The sequence below is a fragment of the Homo sapiens genome, chromosome 5 (assembly GCF_000001405.40).
Source record: "Homo sapiens chromosome 5, GRCh38.p14 Primary Assembly".
NCBI classification, from domain to species: domain Eukaryota; kingdom Metazoa; phylum Chordata; class Mammalia; order Primates; family Hominidae; genus Homo; species Homo sapiens.
This window is the reverse complement of record NC_000005.10, coordinates 94,730,268-94,756,282: the sequence shown is the minus strand read 5'-3', so window position 1 is coordinate 94,756,282 and position 26,015 is coordinate 94,730,268. Positions and strand designations below refer to the sequence as shown.

Sequence of the window (26,015 nt, the reverse complement as noted above, 5' to 3'; positions counted from 1 at the left end):
TTAAGAGTATGGATTCTGGAACCAGGCTGCTATGTGATGCTGGGCAAGAAATTTTACCTCTATCCCTCAGTTACCACATCTGCAAAGTGGGGTTAATAATTGTTCCAACCTCATAGGGTTGTTGTAGGGATTAAATGACTGTATATTTAGTGAAGCTTAGAACAAGGTCTGGCTGTTGTCGGAATTTCCTAGGTCTAATAGGAGTAATAATATTGTTATTGTTATAATCATTAGCAGCATCACTGTCGGCCATGGGTGCCCAGGAAAATTGTCAAGTTGTTAAATGGAACAGAAGGTCTGAGTAAGAATAGATTTTAGAGGGAAAAAAATTACTTCTGTTTCTAACATGTCGAGTTTGAAATGTCACCAGGACATCGAATAAGGTATTCTAGCAGATGGTAGAAGTAGAAATCTAGAGTTCAAAGAAGAGGTTATAGCAGAGACTTTTAAATTTGAGAATTACCCATTAGAGATACAAAGTTATTACAGAGGCAGAGGAAGTTGAGTATGAGAGGAAGAGGGCCGAGGACAGTTCTGTGGAGAATGCATCTATTTAAAGGGCAACGGGAGGATGAAAAACAGAACATATACTGAAAAGGAGTCTTCAGAGTGATAGGAGGGGAATCCGAAGGGTCCCAAGCATGGAAACCACATGTTTTAAGAAATATATCGCTAGAATGAAGTATGTCAAATGGTCATGGAAGATGAGCACTAAAGAAAAAGTCATGAACGCTGGTGATTGGATTAGTTGTGGTCGTGGTCCTCGGAGTTTCCCTAGTGTGGTGAGAGCAGAACGCAGAAGGCAAATGAGAGGCAGCTGGTGTGAACTCTGGTTTGAGAGCTGGTTTGATTCTGAAGCGGGGAAAGAGAGGAAAGTGGGAATTAAGGAGTTGGAAGGACCTTGGGGCTCATTTTAGTATTAATACTAGAGAGGTCACTCACTCTTTAAAAGGAATCAGTGGGGAAGGAGGAATCCAGAGCTAGAAGAGGGGAGGATCAGGGTCTCAGAAGTGATGGCAGTGGCAGAAGGAAGGGGTCAGGGAAGAAGCTCCCTGGGGATCCTCCCGGTGAGGAGCACAGGTGTTGAAGAAGCACACATGGCCTCAGCTCTCTCAGGAAAAACAAAGAAATGGTCACCTGCTATGAGTGTGAATGTTAGGATGGGAGGCTCTGGAGAAAGTGGGAGGACTGGGAGGACTGTGACAGCCAGTCAGCATGAGCCAAATGGACAAATGCCCAAGTCACTGTCAAGGCCTCCCTGGGGCTGCATGACACACCAGGAATGTGTGGTCGCCAAAACGGGCAGTCCACAGCTTGGCAGCCCAGAATGAGTTGTATAAAAACAGGATAATACAGAAAGAACATAAAGACAGGTCCAACAACATCCCTATAGGTTGCAAGGGAAGGAGACAAGTGAAGCCAGAACCGAATGGATGGGCTGGGAGAACGGTGAGGTGGTAGGCAAGGGAAAGGTCAAAATCAGTGGGATGGGGAAAGGTGTAAATGGCAGGCCTAGGTAATTGTGTTACTGTGGACCTTTACATCTGTCTGTCTTGTTTGTTTATACCAGAAATTTCTGCCTGGATAATAAAAAAAGGATATGCTTTTAAAGTTAAACGTACTTTGGCACTTCTGAAAAGACTGATCGGACTGTTTAGTAAAGAAAGCTGAATTTTGATCCTCCATCTTCTTTAACTTTTTACCTATGGCTTTGGATGAAGTCTGCTTTAAAAGAAGAAGAAAAAGAAGATGTCAAAGAGTTGTAAATTGCAGAATGACATCTACCATGTGGTTCTTCTGCCACTCTCACTAATATTGCTTAGCATTCTGACTTTTAAAAATAACGTGGTTATTGAGATTTAAAACTCTGTGGATGCAGAATACATTTTTGAAAATAAGACTTTTTACTATGCATAGCCAATTATAGTCCACTGAGGAAATGATGTATTTTTCCAATACATTTTTATTATGTACTTAACTGACGGACCTTCCCAGCTTCTTCACAGACATTCCACTCCATCAGCCACTGTTCATAATGTGCTTCTTAGGAATCTACTTAAATTTGTATTTACCTGTGAGGCTGGATTGGCTCCAGAGGACACAGTCCTTTTTTCCTTGAGTAAATTATACATATTTTAGAAAACTATCTAAAAACATATTTATCTCATATGGAATTCTGGCCTCAAGGGTAATTAAGACCCGTTTTTAAAAAGCATAGCCAATACACTTTAACTCTCTCAGGTAAATAAGATATATTTTATAATCATCTAAGAGCGATTTCTCTCTTCCTTTCCTTCTCTTTCCCTTCTCCTGTAACTATCACCATGCCTCTTTTAAACACATATTTTGTAATTATTTCAATGTTTCCTCAGATACTGCTTTTCTCCTGGGGGCCAGTGCACCAATTACGCTTTCCTTCCACCCCATGCACTGGCAACTGAACACAGAAGAGGCATAGTCTACCTGAAGTATAATTTCTAGAAGAGAAGTTACTTTGTGAAGATCCAGGCCCTTCTGCATATGCATGTTCATTGGTCCTCCCATTTTAAAAAGGTAGTTTCAATACTGGGTAGTTTAGAGCTCAGAGTAGAGTTTGTTTGCTAAGAGAGGCATAATTGAATGAACACTATATTTTGAGATTAATTTTAAAATGAAAATGATACCTGAAAGTAAATGTGCAATAGCATCACTGTAATTATTACAGAAGCAACTACACACCACAATCATTATTACAACAAAGGAAATAAATGAAATTTCCTAGCAATAACATGATTTCTCATTTAGCTGTTTTGCACTTCTAAAACAACCTTTACACGATGAATTTTTTGCATCCAATGAATAATGAAAATGCGCAACCCATTCTTCCTTTTCCCTATAAGAATACTGCAGTATTCCCCAGAGGCGGAAGGCAATAGGAAGCTATATGGCAATAATTTTTAGGGGGTTTGTGCAAACTGCATGACTAGAGAACTAAAAACTTAGGAGAAAAGGTGTTTCCTAGAAATTGCAAGATAAGTGTAGGGAGTAGAATAATGCCTGGTTTGTTTCTTCTCTCTCCATCTCTGAGGTCCAATCCTTTACATTTCATAAGACTGACTTCTGCAGTTGCTGTGGATAAATGTCACTGCCATATGCACTCCTCCACTGTGGGGTCAAAGTTTCTACTGGTCTCTTCTCAGTCAGGGTAATTAGGACCTGAGAGTTCATCCTGCTCTACTTCAAGCCACAGTGAACCCCTGAACAAGATCCTCTGGGTTTATGGTTTATATAGCCCTCCTAATCAAAATATTTGCAGCTCTTGCTAAACTTCAAAACTTGGATGAGGGCTTTCTGTTGTGTTAGTGGCCTAAATCCCAAACAATTTTCCTGCCCAGATTAGTCTTAGAATTCAGATGACCATAAATCCCAGTTACAGAGTACAGTCCCTGTTTACACCTGTTATCCTGCTATAATCAATAGCTTTCACTTTCAGAGGTGTCCCTGTTTGGATGATAAGTACTATGTGATCTCTACTTACATGAAGTCTTTGGACTGAATTTTGTTTCCTTGGATGTTTTTGTGTTTGTGCTTTTTATGGCTATGTGCTTTTTATGTCTATGAAGGGTTATATTTTCTTTTTTCATACTCAGGTAAGTTTGAGTAGATTTTTTTAAAAAAACATCCTAGTTTTCAAAATAACCTAGGAACCAAGTTAAAACACAAATTCTTTAGCCCCACTTCAAGAGATTCTGATTCAATAAGGTGGAACCTAGGAATTGTTTTAACTGGGTGGTCCTTAGGCACCTGAGTTTGAGAATTTTAGCTTCAAGCACTTGCAAACTCAGCCTACCTATTTGACCCTTAACCTCTGAACTTAGGTATGTACAAGGGGCATACTTATTTCAGGATACTCTGGCGAACATTTGGTCAAGCTGATCAGCTGCAGTTTGGCTGAGTAATACTGAAAGGGTTGAACAACTAGTATTTCCCAAGCTAGCTCAGAGGGCTCATCCTCACCACTTTGTCATTGTTAGAACTCAGGTAACCACTTTGGATAAAATCCAGTTACAAGCGCTCTTCCCTGACTCTCCTGCCAAACACGCAGACACTGTTTCAGCCGGGTGAGATAATTCACCTACCTGAGGAAGCTATTTTGAATATATATATATATATATATATATATATATATATATATTTTATTATTTAAGTTTTAGGGTACATGTGCACAATGTGCAGGTTAGTTACATATGTATACATGTGCCATGCTGGTGTGCTGCACCCATTAACTCGTCATTTAGCATTAGGTATATCTCCCAATGCTAACCCTCCCCCCTCCCTGCACCCCACAACAGTCCCCGGAGTGTGATGTTCCCCTTCCTGTGTCCATGTGTTCTCATTGTTCAATTCCCATCTATGAGTGAGAACATGCGGTGTTTGGTTTTTTGTAAGGCGACTGGTAAGTATGGATCGAGAATCGTGGCTTATTTCATCTGGAACGTTGATCCTAGAACAAAAGACAAGTCATTAAGTGATTCAGCTCCCCCTTCTCTGTTCCTTCATGCAGCATTGTGCGCAATCAAGGACACATGCCATTCAACAACGGCTCTGCTTTGCTGACACTCTCAAAGTCATTCTTTCACAGCTGTCAGGGCTCTGTACGCTTTATGCATTCCTTCTGGGCACTTGATCCTCACATTCCACCAGGCAGGAGAAGCAAGCACTTGAACAAAAGGAAGCAAGGACTCAGCTTCCCGGAGGTCAGGGCTATAGCCCTCGCACATATTAATAAACTGCCATTTACATTCTCCAGGTCACTTTTATTAGGCTTTCAAGGTCACCTGCCTTTGAGAAGTCTTAGAATTTTTTTTCTTCATGCTCATCCTCACCCCCTGTCTCCACCCCACCTTGCCCCTTCTCTCATACACTATCTCATATGCCTGGGCTCTGTAGAAGGAAATTAAACTGTGATTTGGTATGCTAAATTACCTGAACTAAAAACTATAATTTGCAATATTATTAAGTCATCACTGTCATGGATTTCAGTTTCTTTCTGTTTAAACCCCTAACTCATAGCATCATTTTTTCTATTACTAAAGGAGAAAAGGAGAGAAAGGCCCTTGGTCGCTCTACTGACTTATCACTCTGTCAGGAAAGTTATATTATGCTTCTGAGTGATTACTTCAGCCCGGCCAGTATTTAGTTAAAACCTCCACCTTGCATTCAAGGTGTGCTTGTTCTTGTTTAAGGGCATATAGGAGAGATATGGGGACTGTTGGGTCAGTTGCAGGGATTAGAAAGTCCACAATTCTCTTTCCAAAGGAATCCTGCCCAGGTTTCGGTTCTGGATGACGGGGACATTTCCTTTTTGTATGCTACTCCCAGTCCTTTTGGAAAGACTTGGATATTTCCTGCTAGCTGGCAGCATCGATGGCCTTCACAATCACCAGATGCTTAATCCCCTTTTGCCATATTCTCTGTGTTGCTGCTTTGAATTAGGCATCAGTATTTTCTGTAAGAATAGACCAGTCAAGATGACTAGGTTTTGCTGCAGTAATAACTGCAAGTCTTGGGGGCTTAAGACCACAATGCTTTTTTCTTGCTTATACTATCTGTCGATCCAGGATGGGCAGAGGGGACTTCATGCCACATCTTTGTTGTCACCCTCACGTTAAGCCCTAAGCTCAAATGTTTTGCTGTTTGAAATACTGCCAGTCACCATGTTGGAAAGAGAAGCACTGGCTCTTAAAGCTTCCTCCTAGAAGAGACATAGACCATTTCTGTTTGCCTTTCATTGGTCAGAGCAAGTCACTTTTAGCAGATAAGGAAGTGCAGTCCTACTACAAGCCCAAAAAGAGATGGCCAGAATATTTGTATATGACCTTAATGATTATACAATTGTCTAGTAGGTTTATGATTCTAAAATAATGAAAGGAGAGAATGAGAATAAAAACCAAGTTTCATTTGCCCCCCAGATATGTAATTTGAACCATTGAGAAAATAATGCTTCCCCCTGTACGTCAATAACATGACAAAAGCAAAGTGCAGACTTTGGTAACTAGGGGAACAGCAATGATGAGATATGATCACGGGTTCTTGTGGCGGGTAGCTCCCTCTGCGACTGCCTAGGCATAAACAATAGCATAAGGTGGGATGTACTCTGTAATATGTCAGCACTGATCTAGGGAAAGGGAACAAGGGACTGGAATATGCTATTTTCTGTCTTTTTCTCATTCAGCAAGTTCTTCTCTCTCTTTCTCATTCAGCAAGTTTTCTACTAAAGGACGTAGATTTTACCAAGTGATTGTACAGACTGAAGTAATAGTTTTTCGGGCTCTGGAGTCAGACTTCTTTTAGTTTAGATCCCAGCTTCATTTGGTACCTAAATGATCTTGGGTAAACTGCTTAACCTCTCTGTAGCCTCATTGCTTCCATGTGTGGAGTGGATATAGTAACAGTGCTTACCTTACAGCATTGATAAAATGTATTTATAGCTCTTGGCCCAAGGCTTTAGAGATGTTCTCTAGCAGGAGAATCACTGAATTTCATTATTCACTTAATACCAATAACTATAGATTCTGAAATTTGGGAAAAGTAGCTCATTTTCCACTGCCTTGATATTTTTTTTTTTTTTTTTTTTTTTTTTTTTTTTGAGATGAAGTCTTGCTCTGTCACCCAGGCTGGAGTGCAGTGGCACGATGTCAGCTTACTGCAACCTCCACTTCCCAGGTTCAAGTGATTCTCCTGCCTCAGCCTCCTGAGCAGCTGGGATTACAGGCACATGCCAGCATGCCCGGCTAATTTTTGTATTTTTAGTAGAGACAGGGTTTCGCCATGTTGGCCAGGCTGGTTTTGAACTACTGACCTCAGGTGATCTGTCTACCTTGGCCCCCCAAAGTGCTGGGATTACAGACGTGAGCCACCACAGCTGGCCGATAAGATGTTTTAAATATTTCTTTCATTCTTCAAAAGTAGGTTCCAGGGCACAGGGTTGCATATATCTTAAGTGCCAGGGGATACCACCTAATAAGACACTATTGCAGGTGTTTTTTGCTGAGTCATCCACAGCAAAGGGTACATCTGTCTGTGCAAAGGAAATACTTTTTTCTGTAGTCTTCTTGATGATAGATTGGCCTAGCAAAAATTTTACAGGCTGGTGAGGATTCTGAACTTTCAAGGTTTGTCTAGTTATTTAAATATGATGCATATAACCTAATAAGACATAGATGCTCAGAATCAAAACATAACTTCAGATCATCACATAAGTCAAGGACAAGAATGCTCTGGGGCCACAATTACAGCAGAAGCATCAAAAAACAAAACAAAACTGTATTTCTTGACCTTCTAGTGTCAGCTCATCTCCCAGGCTTCTAATTGCATTGAGCGCTATTGCAGACGGTGGCCAGTCTGTGTAGTCAGTCCACCGTGTCCAGTCAAGGTAATATCCTCTTGGATAGTAAAATATATGAGGTTCAATTTGCTTCTCTTTTTCTACTTAGTTTGAAGACTCAACAGAGAGCTGGAAATGTAGTGCTACAGTGCTTCTGGCTCAAGAAAGTCTTTTTGGAATCTATTAGTATCATCAGTGTCCTGAGACAATCGAGAAACTTAGAGTGCTGATAACTATGCTCAAAAAGTAAATGTGCAAGGCAATGTTAACTATATTTTCCATTACATTCCAAGTCTATTAATAGAAAGAACAAAGATCAGAGAATAAAAACTTGCCCCACAGAAATTTTATTTCCAGTCAAAGATTTGAATCTAAATTTTTCAGAGCATGGGACTAAAGAGATCAGGCAATCATGGGTTTTGTCCTGTAGCCACAAAGGATGTATGTACCTATTTAACCATGTCAAAATGTTTCCTGGTAAACTAGGGGGCCAGGTTAGAAAGTTGGCAGGGAGCCATGTACTCAGAACTACTCTGAGAAGCCTTAACGGACTGCTGTCTCGACAATGTTTCAGTAGTTCCACAGTCGTCACCCTGTGCTCTTTAGCAAGCTCTGAGTCCTAACTGTACATGCAACTGGCATGTGTTTATCTAGTCTGGAAAATGCTTTCCTATAAAAGATGAAGAAACTGAGTTTAAAAGTCCACATACCTTTGGAAGACACAGAAGATGGAATAAAACCCACATCAAATTACAGAAACCTAATCATCTGGGTCAAACAGTATAATTTGTCAATAGTATCAAAACTTCCTTATGGTTTCTTTCTTGAGACAGAGTTGCACTCTTGTCACCCAGTCTGGAGTGCAATGGCACAATCTCAGCTCGCTGCAACCTCTGACTCCTGGGTTCAAGCAATTATTTTGCCTCAGCCTCCCAAGTACCTGGGATTACAGGCGCGCGCCACTACGCCGAGCAATTTTTATACTTTTAGTAGAGACGGGATTTCACCACATTGGCCAGACTGGTCTCAAACTCCTGACCTCAGATGATCCACCTGTCTTGGCCTCCCAAGGTGCTGGGTTTACAGGCGTGAGCCACCATGCCTGGCCTCCTTATAATTTCAGAAGCTCAATTTATTACAGAATAATTACCCCCATCCAGTTAGTATAATAGTTAAAGACCACTAACCCACCAATCAGAAGACCTCGATTCTAGATCCGCCTCTGTTGCAATCTGGACTTTACCTCTCTTAGCTTTATATATGAAAAGGATTATTTGGGCTAGAACAGAAGTCAGTAAACTACAGTCCACAGGCCAAATTCAGCCAACTGTAAATAAAGTTTTATTGGCATACAACTACACCCATTTGTTTTCTTACTATCTACGGCTGCTTTCATGCTTTCAATGAAGGGGTGAATAGCGGCAACACAGATTATGTGGCCTGGAACACCTAAAATATTTACTATTTAGCCCTTTACAGAAAAAAAAATTACTTCTGAATTGGAAGCTATCCAAGAGATAGCTCCTCTGTCTCCTCATCTGCAAAATGGGAACAAAAATAATACTTGCCTCATAAGATTATGAGGATTAAATGATGGTTCTTAATACAGTTTCTACATAGGAAATGATAGGTAACATATAATTATATAACTGTTAAAATGGTGAGCATGACCATTGTCAGAATTGTAGCAATCAGTTTTCCATTACAGAAAAAATACTTGCTGCTGTCGTGCTATGCTACGATATTACATGGAACAGAAAAGATGGCAGTTCACACACAGAACTCCTGGACAACTGAAATAACAAAATCCAGTACAGGCAGAAGATATGGATAAAGGCAAACTGTATCTCCAGCCTAAAAAAAAAGCTGGAAACCTACATTATCTAATTATCAACCTGATACTTGAGCTAGACTTTGAAGGCTAAGTCAGATTCAAACAAGCCAAAAGAGGAACTTAAAGGTATTCAAGGTCAAGGGGAAGTGGAATTCCCAAGAGGCCTTGAGAGGGCAGTTTGTAGAAGAATTTAGCCACAGCAAAATATACTGACGCAAGAGTTGTGAGTGACAGGGTAAGAATGGTTGGTTGGGACCAGGTTGTGGAGTTTTGAGCACTGGAGCAAGGAATGTAGACAGTTTCTTATGTGCATTGAGATCCACTGAAGTTTTCTGAACCTGAAAAATATTAGTATTTCTAGAATAATTTACCTATCTTTATGACATGGAATGCATGAGAAGACAAAGAAACAGGAAATTAAGTTCATTTTAAAGAGATGAATTTCAGTTTTGTCTGCACTATTACATTATAAAAATGTCTTATATTTGTTGTTTATATTTGTTCTTATTCCCCTTTGTAAAATTTCACTTAAGCCTACTTTACCTACTGTATTTAAAATGGAGTAGTAGCTAATGCACAAATATACAAATGAAGTCATGGTTTTTATTCTTTCTGTAACTACTTAAAGAGCATCATTTTACATATATCTCAAAACATTCATAATATTAGCACTTATTAGGGGTTTACCGTGTAAAAGATAGGAGAAAATGAGTCAAACATGAGTAACGCCTTCAATCTGGGAGGGGAAATAAATGACATAAAAGAATTAATAGAGGGCTGTGAGTCATTTGAGTATTCAGAAAGGAGTAGGAGGCAGAAAGGGCTCCAGTCAAGTGTGGCGGATATTGTCTACCCAGTGTTTATTTCCCCATTTTCCCTTGCTAATGGAAGACGGACTTTGTACATAATGACAAAGATTCTGCCTAAATCCTCAGTTTTCTAAGGTTTCATTGTATCTATGAATGACTCTTTAATATAGTTCTGGCCAAAGAGCTGGAAAAGGATGTGTTCCGGGGGTTTCTGGGAAAGTTTTTTACTTTCTTGATAACATAGGACAGATATTGCTGACTCCATCCTTCCCCCTCTCATCTACCTTTGAATGTGAATGCAATGCTTACAGCTGGGGCAGCCATATTAACACCATGAGGCAATAAACATAAGGATGAAGAAATGGAAAGACAGAAAGTTCTTAGGGCCCAAATGATCACTTTGAACATCTGGTACAATATCAATAACCTGACTTCTGAACTTCCTATTGCATGAGGAAAATTAACTCTACTACCTAATCTACTACTAGAATATTCTGTTGCTTGCAGCCGAGCACTTTGTGCTGCTTCTCTTCTGTAAATATGTTTTTCTTCAATGAGTACTTATTTCTTCAACACATTTTTCTTCAAGTTTCTATTAAGCACCTATGTGTCAGGCTCAGTGTTAGGCACTAGAAATAAATATAATGATGCCTCCCTTAATTTTTCTCTGCAAGAATACCTGATGATTTTGAAGATACTCAAATGGAGAACAGTAAAATGACTCTTTCCTCTCCACCTTTCTTTCATATCGCCTAACTGCCCTCTACCCCTACCAGCTCATCTGCAAAATGGGAATAAGAGACAAAAAGAGACAAAGTGAAAATGAGGCTAAAAGAAGTCAAATATATGTATTACACATGCCTCCTCCCCATTCTCCCAGAAGAAATGGAAACAAGTGGACACTCTGTAAGAGAACAGGAAAGCCAGTGCAGCTCCTTTATCCCTCCTCACATCTTGCACCAAAGAGCACACTCTCCGAGCTGTGGAGCAGCTATGGAATCTCCACCCAGAACATTATAATTGACCCATTTTGGGAAAAGGTTTGTTCACTTGTGGGCATACTGGTTATAGACAGAAAGGCATTATTAAGCAAGTCCTCAAACCTGAAGCCCTAAACTTCCCCTTAGACCTTGCTGCACTCAGGCGTATCCAGTAAGAAAACTATGGTCATGAGAAGTGGCTGGGAAACATTCTTACTCTCTGTGGGTGGGAGCATGTCATAGGACTACTCTGGAGTCTTCCTTCTCTTGTTGTTTCAACCATCTTAAAAGCAATGGTTATCTGACAAGAAATGCTGTGTTAAGGCTGTGCCCTTGGACTTGTCCAAGTTTGCACAGCACAGGCAGGGCAGGATTTGAATCCAATGTTAAAGCCCCTTACTGTATTTTGGGAAATGAGCTGAACACAGTTTTAGTCTTGGTATCAAATCTCGGGATGTAATCCAGTCAAGAACTACCTATTGGTGGCTGGGCGCGGTGGCTCACACCTGTAATCCCAGCACGTTGGAGGCCGAGACGGGCGGATCACCTGAGGTTGGGAGTTCGAGATCAGCCTGACCAACATGGAGAAGCCCCATCTCTACTAAAAATACAAAATACAAAAATTAGCCCAGTGTGGTGGCACACGCCTGTAATCCCAGCTACTCAGAAGGCTGAGGCGTGAGAATCCCTTGAACCTGGGAGACAGAGGTTGCAGTGAGCTGAGATGGCACCACTGCACTCCAGCCTGGGTGACAGAGCAAGACTCTGTCTCAAAAAAAAAAATGTTAGTGAAACCAAAACTGAGATCCATTTTCAGAACTTGACCAAGTTTGCATAACGCCAGCAGGGCAGGATTTGAATCCAGTGCTAAATCCCCTGTCCATCTAATTAGTCCGTTATCCATGCTTCTTGCTCCTTGCTCCCTGTGCATTTTAGAAGTACAGAGGCTGCTAACTGGCAGCTAAGGGGCTGAATTCAGCTGTGGACAGGATTTTAAAACAGTCTTCAAAAATCAGGAGAAGCTGAGCTCAACGGCTCACGCCTATAATCCGAGCACTTTGGGAGGCCAAGGTGGGTGGATCACTTCGGATCAGCCCAGGAGTTAGAGACCAGCCTGGGCAACATGGCAAAACAAACAAACAAACAAACAATAACATTAGCTGGGTGTGGTGGCGTGCATCTGTAGTTCCAGCTACTCCGGAAGCTGAGGTGGGAGGATCACTTGAGCCCGGGAAGCAGAGGTTGCAGTGAGCTGTGATGGTGCCACTGCACTCCACCTTGGGTGATGGAGCCACATCCTGACTCAGAAAAAGAACAAGAAAAATCAAGAGCTCTCATGGAAAAATGTGGATTTTGGCCGGGCACAGTGGCTCACACCTGTAATCCTAGCACTTTGGGAGACCGAGGTGGACAGATCACAAGGTCAGAAGATCGAGACCATCCTGGCTAACATGGTGAAACCCCGTCTCTACTAAAAATATACAAAAAATTAGCCGGGTGTGGTGGCAGGTGCCTGTAGTCCCAGCTACTCGGGAGGCTGAGGCAGGAGAATGGCGTGAACCCGGAAGGCGGAGCTTGCAGTGAGCCGAGATCGCGCCACTGCACTCGAGCCTGGGCGACAGAGGGAGACTCCATCTCAAAAAAAAAAAAAAAAAAAAAAAATGTGGATTTTGAGCTTCTCTTGAAAGACGGAAAGTTCTGGCAACATTGGGCCTGGATTCCAACATGGCCATGATGACTGGGATGCCCTCTCCATGGGCCCCATGCTCTCACCCAGCCTGGCCTGTGCAGGCGTTTCCGTTTGTGTCGGATAGCTCCTTGTTGGCACCTGTCATAAAGCATTTTTCACTTTCTCTCTTATCTCACCTTCGTGAGGCTGCAAGCTTCCTTTTTTATTTCTGTCTTCTCTGCTGTGTTTTTCCTCTCTCTAGCATGGAGTCAGTGCTTGGCATATCATAGACTCTCTTTTTTTTTTTTTATTGAATTGAAATATAAGCCTGCAGATTTGCTAATAAGTTCAACATTTAATACTGCTCCAAATACAGCTTTTAGGTTAATTTTAGTATAGCCAATTCTTGCTTCGTCCCATTTATAGAAAAATAGGAGTGAGAAGCCAGTGAATAATCCCCCAGATTTTTTTTTTTTTTTTTTTACATTGGGTTACATCAGTGTTTTCATTAGATTCTTATTAGATGTTCGTACTTGATTGCTCTGTTTTGGTAGATTAGGAAATCACATTTTATTTTCCCTATGAAGTCTTCCGTGCTTCTAGGTTAGTCATCTCCCCACCTTTCTTATGCCTCTATTGTAGAATTTATCAGATAGTATCCTAAGGATTTGTTTACCAACCTGTTCCCTTACAGGCAGGGACTGTGCATTATTCATTTTCGTTATCTCCCCCAGCCTAGCAGATAATAGGTTTTCAATACAGTTTCAATGAGTGAATTATTGCCTGAAGTAGGTACACAATAGATAGAAGATATATATTGAAATTTCTTTAGTCTGACATGAAGGAACATAGACTTTACTTCCTCAAGTTAATCAGTGGTTTTGATAGTTTAATATAGTACTTTTCTTTGTATTTCTTTTCAGTTAAAAATGTAATGTTAATCCTTAAACAGCAAAGAGATATTCTGTCAAATTAAAAAAAAAAAGAAAAAGGCTTTAGAAGTTTCTATGCATTCTTCTTTGGTGTTGGTTTTCACAGGCAGTAATTGGGATCATTAGCTCATGATTCTCTTTCCAAGGCAAGCTCTAAGACCCAGGGAGCACTTGTGGGTTTGACCTAAGGCTGTTAGGCAGCCACAGTTCCTGCCTCAGCTCTGACTTTGTTAACCAAAACAATGATAGCTATGGTACTTCATTTACTTAGTATCACTAAGCCCAAGATGGAAAAATCAGTGGACACACTTAAAACTGATAAAAAGATATACATTCTTGGCCAGGCATGGCAGTGCACCCCTGTAATCCCAGTACTTTGGGAGGCTGAGGCAGGAGGATCACTTATACCCGAGAGTTTGAGACCAGCCTGGGCAACATGGCAAAACCGCATCTCTATAAGAAAAATAATAATAGAAAATTTAAAAAAATTTAAAAACATACATTCTTTTTCACTTTCTGCTATTGGGCTATAGTAGATGGGTTCGAGCATCATTTCTTCCTATAGTCTTCCACTTTCCAGCCGTTTTACCCTAATAATGTTATTACCTTAATGACACTAAAGATTTTGCCTTACACTTCATGGCTTATACAGTGTCGTTCAAACACTCTAGAAATAAAGTAGGGACTAACATTTATGGAACACTGATATGAGCCAAGCACTGGGTTAAGCATTTTAACTGGATCATTACATTTGAGGCATCTAACAACCCTAAGAAATAGGTAGCACTGTTAACCCCAATCTCACATCTGAGGAAACTGAGGTTTAGGGAGGTTAAGGAATTCATGCAAAGTCACAAGCAGTAAATCACAGAGTAGAATTCTAATTCAACGCATGCAAGCATTTGCCCCTCTGCTATCCCAGAATTCTGCTCTTATAGGCTGTTTGGCAGAAATTCCTCATCCAAAAGGTACTAGTGACTTTTGCTAGACGAGGTTCTTACCTTGGTGGCATGGGCTGCTATTATTTAATTATTACTAAAGCATCTGAGAGGAAGCTGACCACAAGTTAATTTTAAAATCATGCTCTTAGCAGCATTAGCAGAGCCTCCCAAAGTAGCTGCCAGGTCTGAGTCCTGGAGCTTGCCTGTTTCCTCTTTTGTCATCCAAGATTGATTTTGTATTGGACTCTATCTTGAATTCAACACCATAATAATTGGCACAAAAAGAGAAGTCAAGTCATTTTATTTACCAAAAGCAGATATAAATGTTTGAATGGTAGAAACCAGAGGGTCTCTTCATGTTTTCTCTCATTGTTTAGTCTAAGAAGGAAAGTGCAGCTTGAAATGAATAAACGAGTGTTCCATTTTTATACTTCTTATTGTGAGCAATCATCATTTCCTTTTTTTAACTTGAAATTTTAATTTACAAGGGTCACTATGTGAGAGTGTTTCCAGAAGCCAAATATTTTCGATGACATATCTGTGAAATTATAAGTTTTGACAACAGAGTTATAAATAAGACTCTAATTTACTTCTAAAGGTCCTCTCACATTACACACAGTTTGCAGATGAATAGTGAACATTTCACACTCCAGGGAGGAAGGAGATGCTACCAAGATGGCCGAGCAGGTGCCCTTGGTCATGAAGACTCTTGACAGCTTCCCCACCAGCTTCCTCTAACTTCATTCTCCTTGCTGTGGATTCTTGGCTTTAATCCAGTGCTTTGATTTCTCATCTTCATGCAATAATTTGTGTGTTTCCGCAACCTGTGTTCTCACCTTCTCCAGGAAGTCTTCTTTGATTAATCTCACCTTCCCAATTAATCATTCCTTTGTTGAAGGTCTTCCCAAAGTTAATAGAGTCAGGATTCTCAAGTATTTGGAAATATTTTCATCTGGGTCTGTTCAACTCCTCAAGAGCATAAAAGTCCAGTATCTCTTCGAAAGCCTGGCCTGCTATACTCTGCACACAGTTGGCACTCGGAAATATGGACCGACTGACCAAATAAACAGAAGCAGAGCTTCTCTCACAATGAAGCTCTACGTACTTTGCATACAAATTGCTAAGGTATTGGGAATAATGTCTCTATTCATATTAAAATTATGAAATCCAACAGCCTGAATTTCTGCCACTTACAACCACACCAAATTTACTCCAAGTAGCAGCTTGTTCACTAGGAAAACCTGACTCAGCAGGTTTAAATTATTCATTTTGAGCCACTTAACTTCTAGATTTCCCCCATTCAGTGGCTTAAACTCGACTTTAATACTGCATGCACTAAAAAAAATTTGCATTTAATTACAGCAGTAGTATGTTTTCCTGTTGCCATCTGAAACATACTCATTATCAGTGTCAGGCTTGCATTGAGAGAGTTTGGTTATTTATATCTAAAAAAATCAAATTCAACAAAGATAACTGAAGGCATGTAAGGAGGTTTTCCTGCTTTTTTATTGTAAGAGTATGCAGCCTGTAGAGACACAAATTCAAAATCTTGGCAAATCATATTTTCAATGACTTTGTCTAAAGATAAATGGATATGTGTAGAGAAAGTTATTTTAAGAATGATAAGTCAACATGAATTTTATTTTTGAAATGTACATATACATATATTTCCAATACGTGTATGATTCAAGAAAATATTGTGTCTGGCAAGTAATTACTGTAGCACTTCATGTGATGAAGAGATTTGAGCCTTAACAAAATTTTATTTAAAACTACCTTAAACAGGCCGGGCACAGTGGCTCACGCCTGTAATCCCAGCACTTTGGGAGACTGAGGTGGGTGGATCACCTGAGGTCAGGAGTTCGAGATCAGCCTGGCCAACATGGCAAAACCCCATCTCTACTAAAAACACAAAAATTAGCTGGGCGTGGTGGCACACATCAGTAATCCCAGCTACTCGGGAGAGTGGTGAGGCAGGAAAATTGCTTGAACCTGGGAGGTGGAGGTTGCAGTGGGCTGAGATCATGCCATTGCACTCCAGGCTGGGCGACAGAGTAAGACTCCGTCTCAAACAACAAAAAACAAACAAACAAAACTACCTTAAACCTTATTCCAAATCAAGGAACATTAAGATCTCATTGTACACTTATAATTACAGGGTTAAAATTGCGATTTGAGATGCCAAAAGGCTGGGTTTGGGCACTCCTTGGATTATCCATTTTATTAAGATCAACTCATCTTCTTATTCGAATGCCATGCCATTGAAGCCTTGTGTAGGGAAGTTCAATACATTTTGTAATTCCATGATATATTTAAATTAATTTAAGAACAAAGTCCTTAGATCCACAAGTTGTTGCGGTGGTTTTAATCAGAACCAGAAGCATTCCTGCTGCCCCAGGTGATACCATATGAATAAATGTTGATTTCATGAATCCTATGCCCTGTTGATCGAACCACATTCTTGTCTAATGTGTTTGTGAAACAGTAAAAGTTTTGTTCTTCAAAGGTGGAAGGTTGTCTACTTAGAATTGATGTATTTTGAAGATCGATAGTGACCTCTTGAATGGTATTCATAAATCACAACCAACCTGCAAATACAAAGTGAAATGAATAAATTAGACAAATCCTTGCCAAATTTTAAACACAATTTTCACCATAAATACCAAGGTAATCAAAGAACTGCTCTCTTGGCCGAAATTACTGGGAAACATTATGCCAGTTTTCTTCCTCACCAAATATGCAGATACATTGACATGAAGCTACTGCTGCTGTTGAAAAGATCACATGTGTTTTAACTAGCAAAAGATGACAAGGTGATCAGAAGCCACACCTGGGAGACATCTGCAGCCTAAAAGATCAGAATAATGAAATGCTGTATTGGTGGACACAACCGAAGTATTTAGGAAGCTTTGTGTTCTTTACTGAGCTCGGTACAGTGGAGAAGGGGATATTTTAAAACACACAACAATCGCCGTCCTCAAGGTGTTTTTCACATTACAGAAGCCATCTGCTAGCCCACAGACATAATGGACAATAATGAGAGGGCAGGAGAAACAGATCAGGAGTACATCTCAGGCTGCAGACAATCATCATTCTCAGAATTCACAACAGGGAGAGATGAATCAACTGTAGTAGTCAAGTAGGGCTTCTTGTAGGCAATGGGCTTTGAGTTAAGTCTTAAACAATAAGAATTCCCAAGGTAGAGGTGAGGTGGAGAGGGTGCTGCTTCAGGTAGAATGTTCAGTATGGGGGGACAGGCTGGTGAGTGTGATGTGTGTTCACAGGCCACATCTGACCCTCTTGCTAGAATTCAGCTTGTTAAGGAAGTTCAGAATTGGGCACTTTGCACTGGGACAAGGTGCTTCTACTGAATGTATTGCAAACAAATTTGTTTCATTTTTCTCAAGCAGAGGAATGATATAAATGGCAATTCTTAAGAGACAGTGGAGAATCCAATCAGGACCACAACGATAAGGCAAGGGTGGTCCGATCTAGATAGTGCAGTGGGGATTGAAAAGGAATTTCAAAAGATATTATTCTGCCAAATTTCTGGGGGCTAAAACTTCATAAATTAACTAGAAGATGAGGGTTATCCATAAAGCTTCTGAATGTTACCCATGAATTAAATTAGCAGAACATACTGTTTTAAGTATAATGTACCTGCAGTTTGCCACAAGTGCCACTAGGTGGTGAGCACGCATTATTCGTGGCTTGAGATTAGCTGTTTCGCTTCTGATGAATGGCATTTAGCTAGTTTTAAGAATTCAAATTCTGGCCGGGTGCGGTGGCTCACGCCTGCAATCCCAGCACTCTGGGAGGCCGAGGCAGGTGGATCGCCTGAGCTCAGGAGTTTGAGACCACCAAGGGCAACATGGTGAAACCCCGTCTCTACTAAAAATACAAAAAAATTAACCAAGTGTGGTGGCGCACACCTCTACTCCCAGCTATTTGGGAGGCTTGAAGCAGGAGAATCACTTGAGCCCCAGAGGCAAAGGTTGCAGTGAGCCAAGATCGCACCACGGGACTCCAGCTTGAGCTACAGAGTGAGATTCTGTCTCAAACAAAAGTAATTCTAATTGAATCAAATTAGATTTTCTTTTAGTAAAGAGTTGATAACTTATGTAACTGGTTATTGATAGAGGAAATGGAACTATTCCTCAGTAATGGTTATTGCAAATATTTAAGAACCTGTATAAATTGGAGTTATTGAAACAAAACTACAGGACTCCCTATTTTAATTTTTTCTATTCAGTACTCACTCAAGAAACATCCCTATTTAGTATTCAAACAGTGACAAGAATTTTTGGTAATAAATGACATCAAACTATTTGGGTGCTTAGAATTTGAAATTATGCTTTATTCTAATATCTAAGCTTACTGCTCTGGGTTAGAGCCTATCTCTTCTACTTAGATGTGTGCCCCAATATGTTAGATACTACCATTATCTGGCAGTGTTTCTGCTATCACCAGGAGGCCCAGCAAAAGCATATTACTTGCACTGTTTCCCTCCCTCCCTCCCTCCTCCTCTGAGATAAAAATATTCTACCTCAGCCTGGAAAACATAGTGAGATTCTTTCTCTACAAAAAAATTTAAAAATTAGCTGGATGTGGTGGTACATGCCTTGGTCCCAGGTACTCCAGAGGCTAAGGCAGGAGGTTCGCTTCAGCCCAGGAGGTCAGGGCTGTGGTGAGTCATGATCATTGCCACGGCACTGCAGCCTGAGTTAAAAGAGCAAGATCCTGTCTCCAAAGAAAAGAAAAATTTCACTTGACTATAAGCATCATGAAGTCAGGGTCTCCATGTCTGTTGGGATTAGCTCTCTATCCTATGCCTGGCATGGTACCAAGTACAGAGTAGACTCTCAATGAGTTAATGAACTTTTTCTGCAAGTTAAAAAATAATGCAGTGACCTCTCCATGTTATCTCAGTAAATCAAATACAACTACGTAGTGTATTTTTGCCAGTTAAGTAATCAGAATTTACCTCTATTACCTCCTGAAAATGACTCAGAAGGAGTTCACACAGAGATCTTCATGGACTCTGTGTTTCTTGCAGTCTCTCATTTAAAATATGCATGCAAGGGTGTGTGTGTATGTATGTGTGAAAGAGGCTGGCATTTTGGTATTAATCTTTCAAGGTTAATTCAAGATTGTGATTTTGGTTACACTAAGTTCTCAGGGTTAATCTATATTTACATTGCCTTTATTTATCTATATAAACATGGGAATGCATATCACAAAAGGATCCCCCCCAAAAAAATTTTTTTTTGAGACAGGGTCTTGCTCTGTCACCCAGGCTGGAGTGCAGTGGCACAATTTCGCCTCACTGCAGCCTCGACCTCCCAGGCTCAAGTGATTCCCCCACCTCAGCCTCCCGAGTGGTTGGGACCAGAGGCATGCACCCCAAGCCCAGCTAGTTTTTTTTCATACAGACAGGTTCTCACTATGTTGCCCAGGCTGGTCTCAAATTCCTGAGCTTAAGCAATCCTCCTGCCTCAGCCTCCCAAAGTGCTGGGATTACAGGCATGAGCCACTGCACCCAGAAGATCAAATATTTGAATTTGGGACTGTGCTACCATAGCAATATTGTAAGTGATAGTGGTGGTTGAGGTGGCCATTTATTGTGTATAATTGAATCTTTCAAATAACCAAGTATTACTAATCATCTTTTAGAGATAAAGAAGCTGAAGTTTGAATGGAATAAGTAAGGTACACATGGACATACATAATGGTTAGCAAGGTCCAAAACCAGGGGTAGTGGGTTGAAACCAAGGTCTGTCCAAACCCAAGGTGATTGGCTCTATAGCCTGTGTACTTTACCCAATTGCTGTACTGCCTTTCTCTACTACTGTGTTGACTTCCCTGCTTGATAACCCATCCAAAGGAATAAAATAGACACATTTATTTGAACATACTGTCGAGTTAGATACCTTAGATATAATGCACAGATATATTTTAAAGTCTCTTTTAGTGTAGCAATTTTGGTGGAAATTGGCACTTAAGAAAAATTATACTTAGTCTATCAGTAGTTTAGAAGTTATTCATGACCTTCCTATTACTGGAAAATACTCAACTGGTTTGGCTATTTATATAGAGTGAAACTGTTCTCTTATGTATATTATGTACTCTATCCTGTAAATCAAAATGAATATCACTTAATCTGAAACATAATGTAGGCCCAACACAGTGGCTCATGCCTATAATCCCAGCGCTTTAGGAGGCTGAGATAAGGAGATCTCTTGAGCCTGGAAGTTCAAGACCAGCCTGGGCATCATGGAAAGACCCTGTCTCTATTTAAAAAAAAAATTAACCAGGCATGGCGGTGTACGCCTGTAGTCTCAGCTACTTGAGAGGCTGAGATGGGAGGATTGCTTGAGCCAGGAGGTTGAAACTATTTTGAGACCCTGTCTCAAAAACAAAAACCAAAAATGTAGACAAATAATGTGGTTAAAAGTGTAAAAAGTGACACTATGGAGCCCCCACAGCAACTAGTCTGGGTCTCCAAGTAGTCTTGAAAATACATGGAAAAGAGAAGGCATGTCTGTGACACGGCCTGGCAAGGAAATGGGTAACTCCGTGTCCTCCTGGTGGGAGTGGAAACTGTACAATCTCTTTTGGAAGGCGATTTGGCAGTAAGTACCAAAATTACAAAAACACAAATCCTTTGGCCAAACAATTCCACTTCTTGTAGTAGAAGTTTATACTACAGATACACTCACACAGGTCAATTATCACATAGACAAGGTGTTCTTTGCTACTACTTTTTTTGTGGTAGCAAAAAACTGATAAAGAACCTAAACATCTATTAAGGGAAAACGGATTAAATAAATAATGGTACATCAATACCATAGGTCATGATGAAGCTGGAAGAATGAGGAAGCTTTTCAACACTGATATGGAACAATCTCTAAGAAACATGGTTAAATAAGAAAAAAAAGCATGGAAATATTTATCATATGCTACTATTTGTGCCTTAAAAATGAAAGAAAGAGACTAGGCATGATGCCTCACTCACATCTGTAATCCCAGCACTTTGGGAGGCCGAGGTGGGAGGATTGCTTTAGGCCGGGAGTCTAAGACCTACCTGGACAAAATAGTGAGATCCTATCTCTCCAAAATGTACAAAAATTCGCCAGGTGTAGTGGCACAGCCTATAGTCCCAGCTACTTGGGAGGCTGAAGTGGGAGGATTACTTTAGGCCCAACAAATGTATATGTTCAATATAACAGATTCCAGATCAGGCCTGACTTCTTCATTGAATCCCATCATCTGACACAGTGTTTGACACATAGTAACCACATGATTAACAGTAACACAAAGATTAATAAGTGGAAAAGATACTAGAAAGATATACCCTAAAATGTTAATAATGTTTACCAGAGTTTTTTTTACTCTATGTTTGTGTTTATTTTCCAAGTTTTCCACAATAGATTGGAAAGAAGTACAATACATGTTATAAGACTGCATCCTAAAAAATATTAATGATTTTCATGCCATGTCTGTCTACAGAGGAATGAACAGCTATTTTAATTAGTACCAGTGAGTGTTTGCGTTTGATCAGCAGTGCTTACAGAAATTCTGGAAAGGATGGTGGTGGTGGTATGTAAGTGGCAGCTGGTACATTTAGTGCGCATTGGAGGTACATGAAGGGATAATTTCAATGTTAATTACAATATCACTCTACACGTTTGAGAGATCACAGAACTAGAATTGGGGTTATTTGATTGAACAGAGTTGTATAAGCATTGAGGTATTTTCCTTTTTCTTTTCTTTTCTTTTTTTTTTTTTCAGACAGAGTCTTGCTATGTTGCCTAGGCTGGAGTACAGTGGCACGATCTGGGCTCACTGCAACCTCTGCCTCCCGGGTTCAAGCAATTCTCCTGCCTCAGCCTCCCGGGTAGCTGGGACTACAGGTGCCCGCCACCACGCCCGGCTAATTTTTGTATTTTTAGTAGAGACGGGGTTTCACCATATTGGCCAGGCTGGTCTCGAACTCCTGACCTTGTGATCTGCCTGCCTTGTCCTCCCAAAGTGTTGGGATTACAGGCATGAGCCACTGGTGCCCGGCCATACTGAGGTATTTTCTGTAACATTAGATGTGATTTTTGTTTTTTCCAAGTTGGTGACTACAGACATATCCAGGAAATAGGGAAGGGGGCTTCTTTTCTAATCAGATATTTTCCTTAATCCTACTAATGTTCCTTTAAGATATGGATTATCCCATTTTACTGATTTGAGAAGGGAATATTACTTGTGACCATCCTAACACCCCAGCGATTAGCACCTATGCTGTGCTGATACAAAATACACACAGACCCACTTTATGACCTCTAGAATTTTGTTCTAAGGAAAGATGATGGAAATCCTGTATTGATCGTATTGCTGTGCTTGAGGACACTGGATAACTTATTACATTAGTATGGGTTTTGGATATTTGCCTAAAGCCACAAACCTTTTGATGTCCACCTTCTAGCCCTGAGAAATACCTCATCCCTCATATAATTCCTGCAAGTAAGATAAAGCAGGACATCTAATGGAAAATTCTTTGCTCTCCCTGTTCTCTGACTTCAGTTGCATTAAAATTTTTTTGAAATAGTAACTTTGAAAATGATTTTCCAACATGTGTTCCAAATAATTTTTAACACTCTCTAACACAACTAGCTTAAATAATAAAGTAGATGAGAATGATAAAATTTGCCATATTTGGAATAGATAAAATTACTCTAAATAATTATGCAGACTTCAACTTTAAATTTAAACACTATAGGCATAAAATTTTAATATATAAAAATAATTTTATAAACCATACCTGAATGATTTGAATAATTTTTTAAGTGTCTTAGTCTGTTCAGGCTGTTGTAACAGAATGTCATAGACTGAGTGGCTTATAAACAACAGAAACTTGTATCTCACAGTTCTGGAGGCTAGAAAGTCCAAGATCGAGACTCTGGCAGATCCAGTGTGTGGTGAGAGCCTGTTTCCTGGTTCTATAGACAGCTGTCTTTCAGCTGTGTCCTCACATGGCAGAATGGAGCAGAAGAACTCTCTAGGGTTTGTTTTATAAGGTCACTAATCCCACTCATAAGAGTTCCACCCTCATGATGTAATCACCTCCCAAAGGCCCCACCTCCAAATATCATAAGATTGGAGATTAGTTTTCAACATATGAATTTGGTGGGGATGGGGCAGGACCAAAAACATTCAGTCTATAGCACCAGGATGATTTGACTAATTTTTTAAGCAGCTAAAAAGTTTCTTAAATTTTTTAAGCAAATAAAGTGCTAAGAAGAAATACACAAACCTTTAGAATCAGGGGTTTCCAATCTTTTGGCTTCCCTGGGCCACACTGGAAGAAAAATTGTCTTGGGCCACACATAAAATACAATAACACTAACAACAGCTAATGAGCTAAGAAAAAAAAAAATCACGAAGTCTCATAATGTTTTAAGAAAAGTTTACGAAGTTGTGTTGAGTCACATTCAAAGACATCCTTGGCTGCATGCAGGCCATGGATTGGACGAGCTTGCTTTAGATGGATGCACACTGTATCCTAGCAGAATAAAATCATAGCAATCTGCACTGTTAACACTGCCTGTCAATGAATCCTTTGTGGAATGTAGCAATACTGTCTTTTAATATTTCTTAAAACCATGTTTAAATGTAATTGCTAAAAACTAACTTTTCCCCTAAGTGATGAAACTCACAGGACATTTGCCACTAGGTAGCTTTCTATAAAATGACCTTACAGGAGTAATGCTACCTGGTATCACTGATTTTACATTTTTAATTGAATATTGCCCATTATCTCTCCTAAGGTAAAAGAATAAATAAATGCCCATTTACTAAAGTATCTAAATTATTCTCAGAAATAGAAAAACAAGAATGTAAAAATTAGTTTTGATATTTAGATTAATAAAGTGAATAATAAATTTTTAATGTTAATTTATAACATTGTTTTCCCCAGCTATCTGTCTGTCTGCAGAATGGTATTTCTATTTGTATTTCTACATAGCAGCAGTTTGGCTCAGATAAATCATCTAATTCATAATACTGGTAGATGTGCCAAAAAGTCACACAAACCAGAAGGTTCAAAATAATTTCTATCAACTCTGCACAGTATGTTTGAGGAAGAGCAGATTGTTGTAACTTTCCTGCTTACAATCAGGGAGCATTCATAAACAGAGGCATTTAAACGTTTGTGTATATCTGACATTACAGAAACATCAAGAATCAGGTAGGAAAAGTCAATATTTATTGTAATCTATCAGCACTCAGATAATTACAGTAACAAATAATAGTAATAAAATGTTAATAAGTAACATTTTTGAGAACTTACTACATACTAGGCAGTAGTCTAAACACTTAAAAAATTCAGGACTAATTGTTTAAATTTGTTAAGCAAATAAGAATTCTAAGAAGAAATACACAAACCTTTAGAATCGGGGTGTCCAATCTTTTGACTTCCCTGGGCCACAATGGAAGAAGAATTGTCTTGGGCCACATTATCAAAACAATCCTAAATTCCCCCTATTAGACCCAAAACAATCCTAAATTAAACTCAAAACAATCTTAAATTCCCCCACGTATGTAGAGATTTATTAAGCTCTACAAGAAACTATACCAAAAAAAATTTGTTCTTTGTCTTCCTGGAATGTATATTCAAAGAAAAGAAGTGAAAGTAAGATCACCCTCCCTTGCAGTGGCAGTATTTCCCAATTCCTTCCTAGTGAAGGTCTTCTTACATTTTAACAGAGGTACTTGATTTTATATTGGTGTTCTGCAATGTGTGTGTGTGTGTGGAGTGTGTGTGTGTGGAGTGTGTGTGTGTGGAGTGTGTTTGTTTCTTTGGCTGGAGATGCTAACAACTATGATCCAGAACTCAGAGTATTTATGATTTTATTTTATTATAGAGGTTCCCAAATGGTGACAAGTATCTACTTCAGATTTCCTTCTGAAACATCTGGGAATAGGGTGTTACCAAGGAAGAAGAGGCCTCAAAGAATGAGTAAAGGGCAAGTTACAGATAACCGCCAGGGGTACTTTCATGAGATGTCCAATGAGCTCCTCTTTCTATAAGGCATGGCTTTAAAACCTGTCTCTGTGTTACTGTTTCTTGCTGGTTTCCATTGAGAACATGTCCTCCTCCTTACTTGATGCAGGAATCTTTGGCACAAACAAGACTGAGGTAAAAGATCCACTGGGCACCTCATACTTTTTCACAGCCCAAACACAACTCTTCATCTGCCCTTTTCCCAAGCTTGCTCCTGCTCCACTCTTCCCTAGGGCAGTAAAATCAGCCTCGGCCAGGTGTGATGGCTCATGCCTGTAATCTCAGCACCTTGGGAGGCCAAGGCAGGAGGATTGCTTGAGTTCGAGACCAGCCTGGGCAACATGGCAAGACCCCATGTCTACAAAAAACAAAAAATTAGCTGAGTGTAGTATCATGTGCCAGTGGTCCCAGCTATTCAGGAGGCTGAGGTGGGA

The 26,015-nt window shown here is 40.0% G+C and overlaps 1 protein-coding gene across 52 annotated transcripts in view; it reads left to right on the top strand.

The window, feature by feature from the left end:
* MCTP1 (multiple C2 and transmembrane domain containing 1) overlaps positions 1 to 26,015 on the top strand; it is a 581,405-nt gene that overhangs the window by 528,812 nt on the left and 26,578 nt on the right. The window contains exon 20 of one of the 52 annotated variants that reach the window (XM_047417719.1): positions 2,373 to 3,555. The exons of 50 other annotated variants lie outside the window; for them this stretch is intronic. In XM_047417719.1, the coding sequence (XP_047273675.1) occupies positions 2,373 to 2,441 (69 nt within the window). In that variant the 3' untranslated portion in view covers positions 2,442 to 3,555. Of the gene's footprint in view, positions 1 to 2,372; positions 3,556 to 26,015 lie in introns of those variants that run through there. One more of the 52 variants, XM_047417739.1, reaches the window with a different exon arrangement.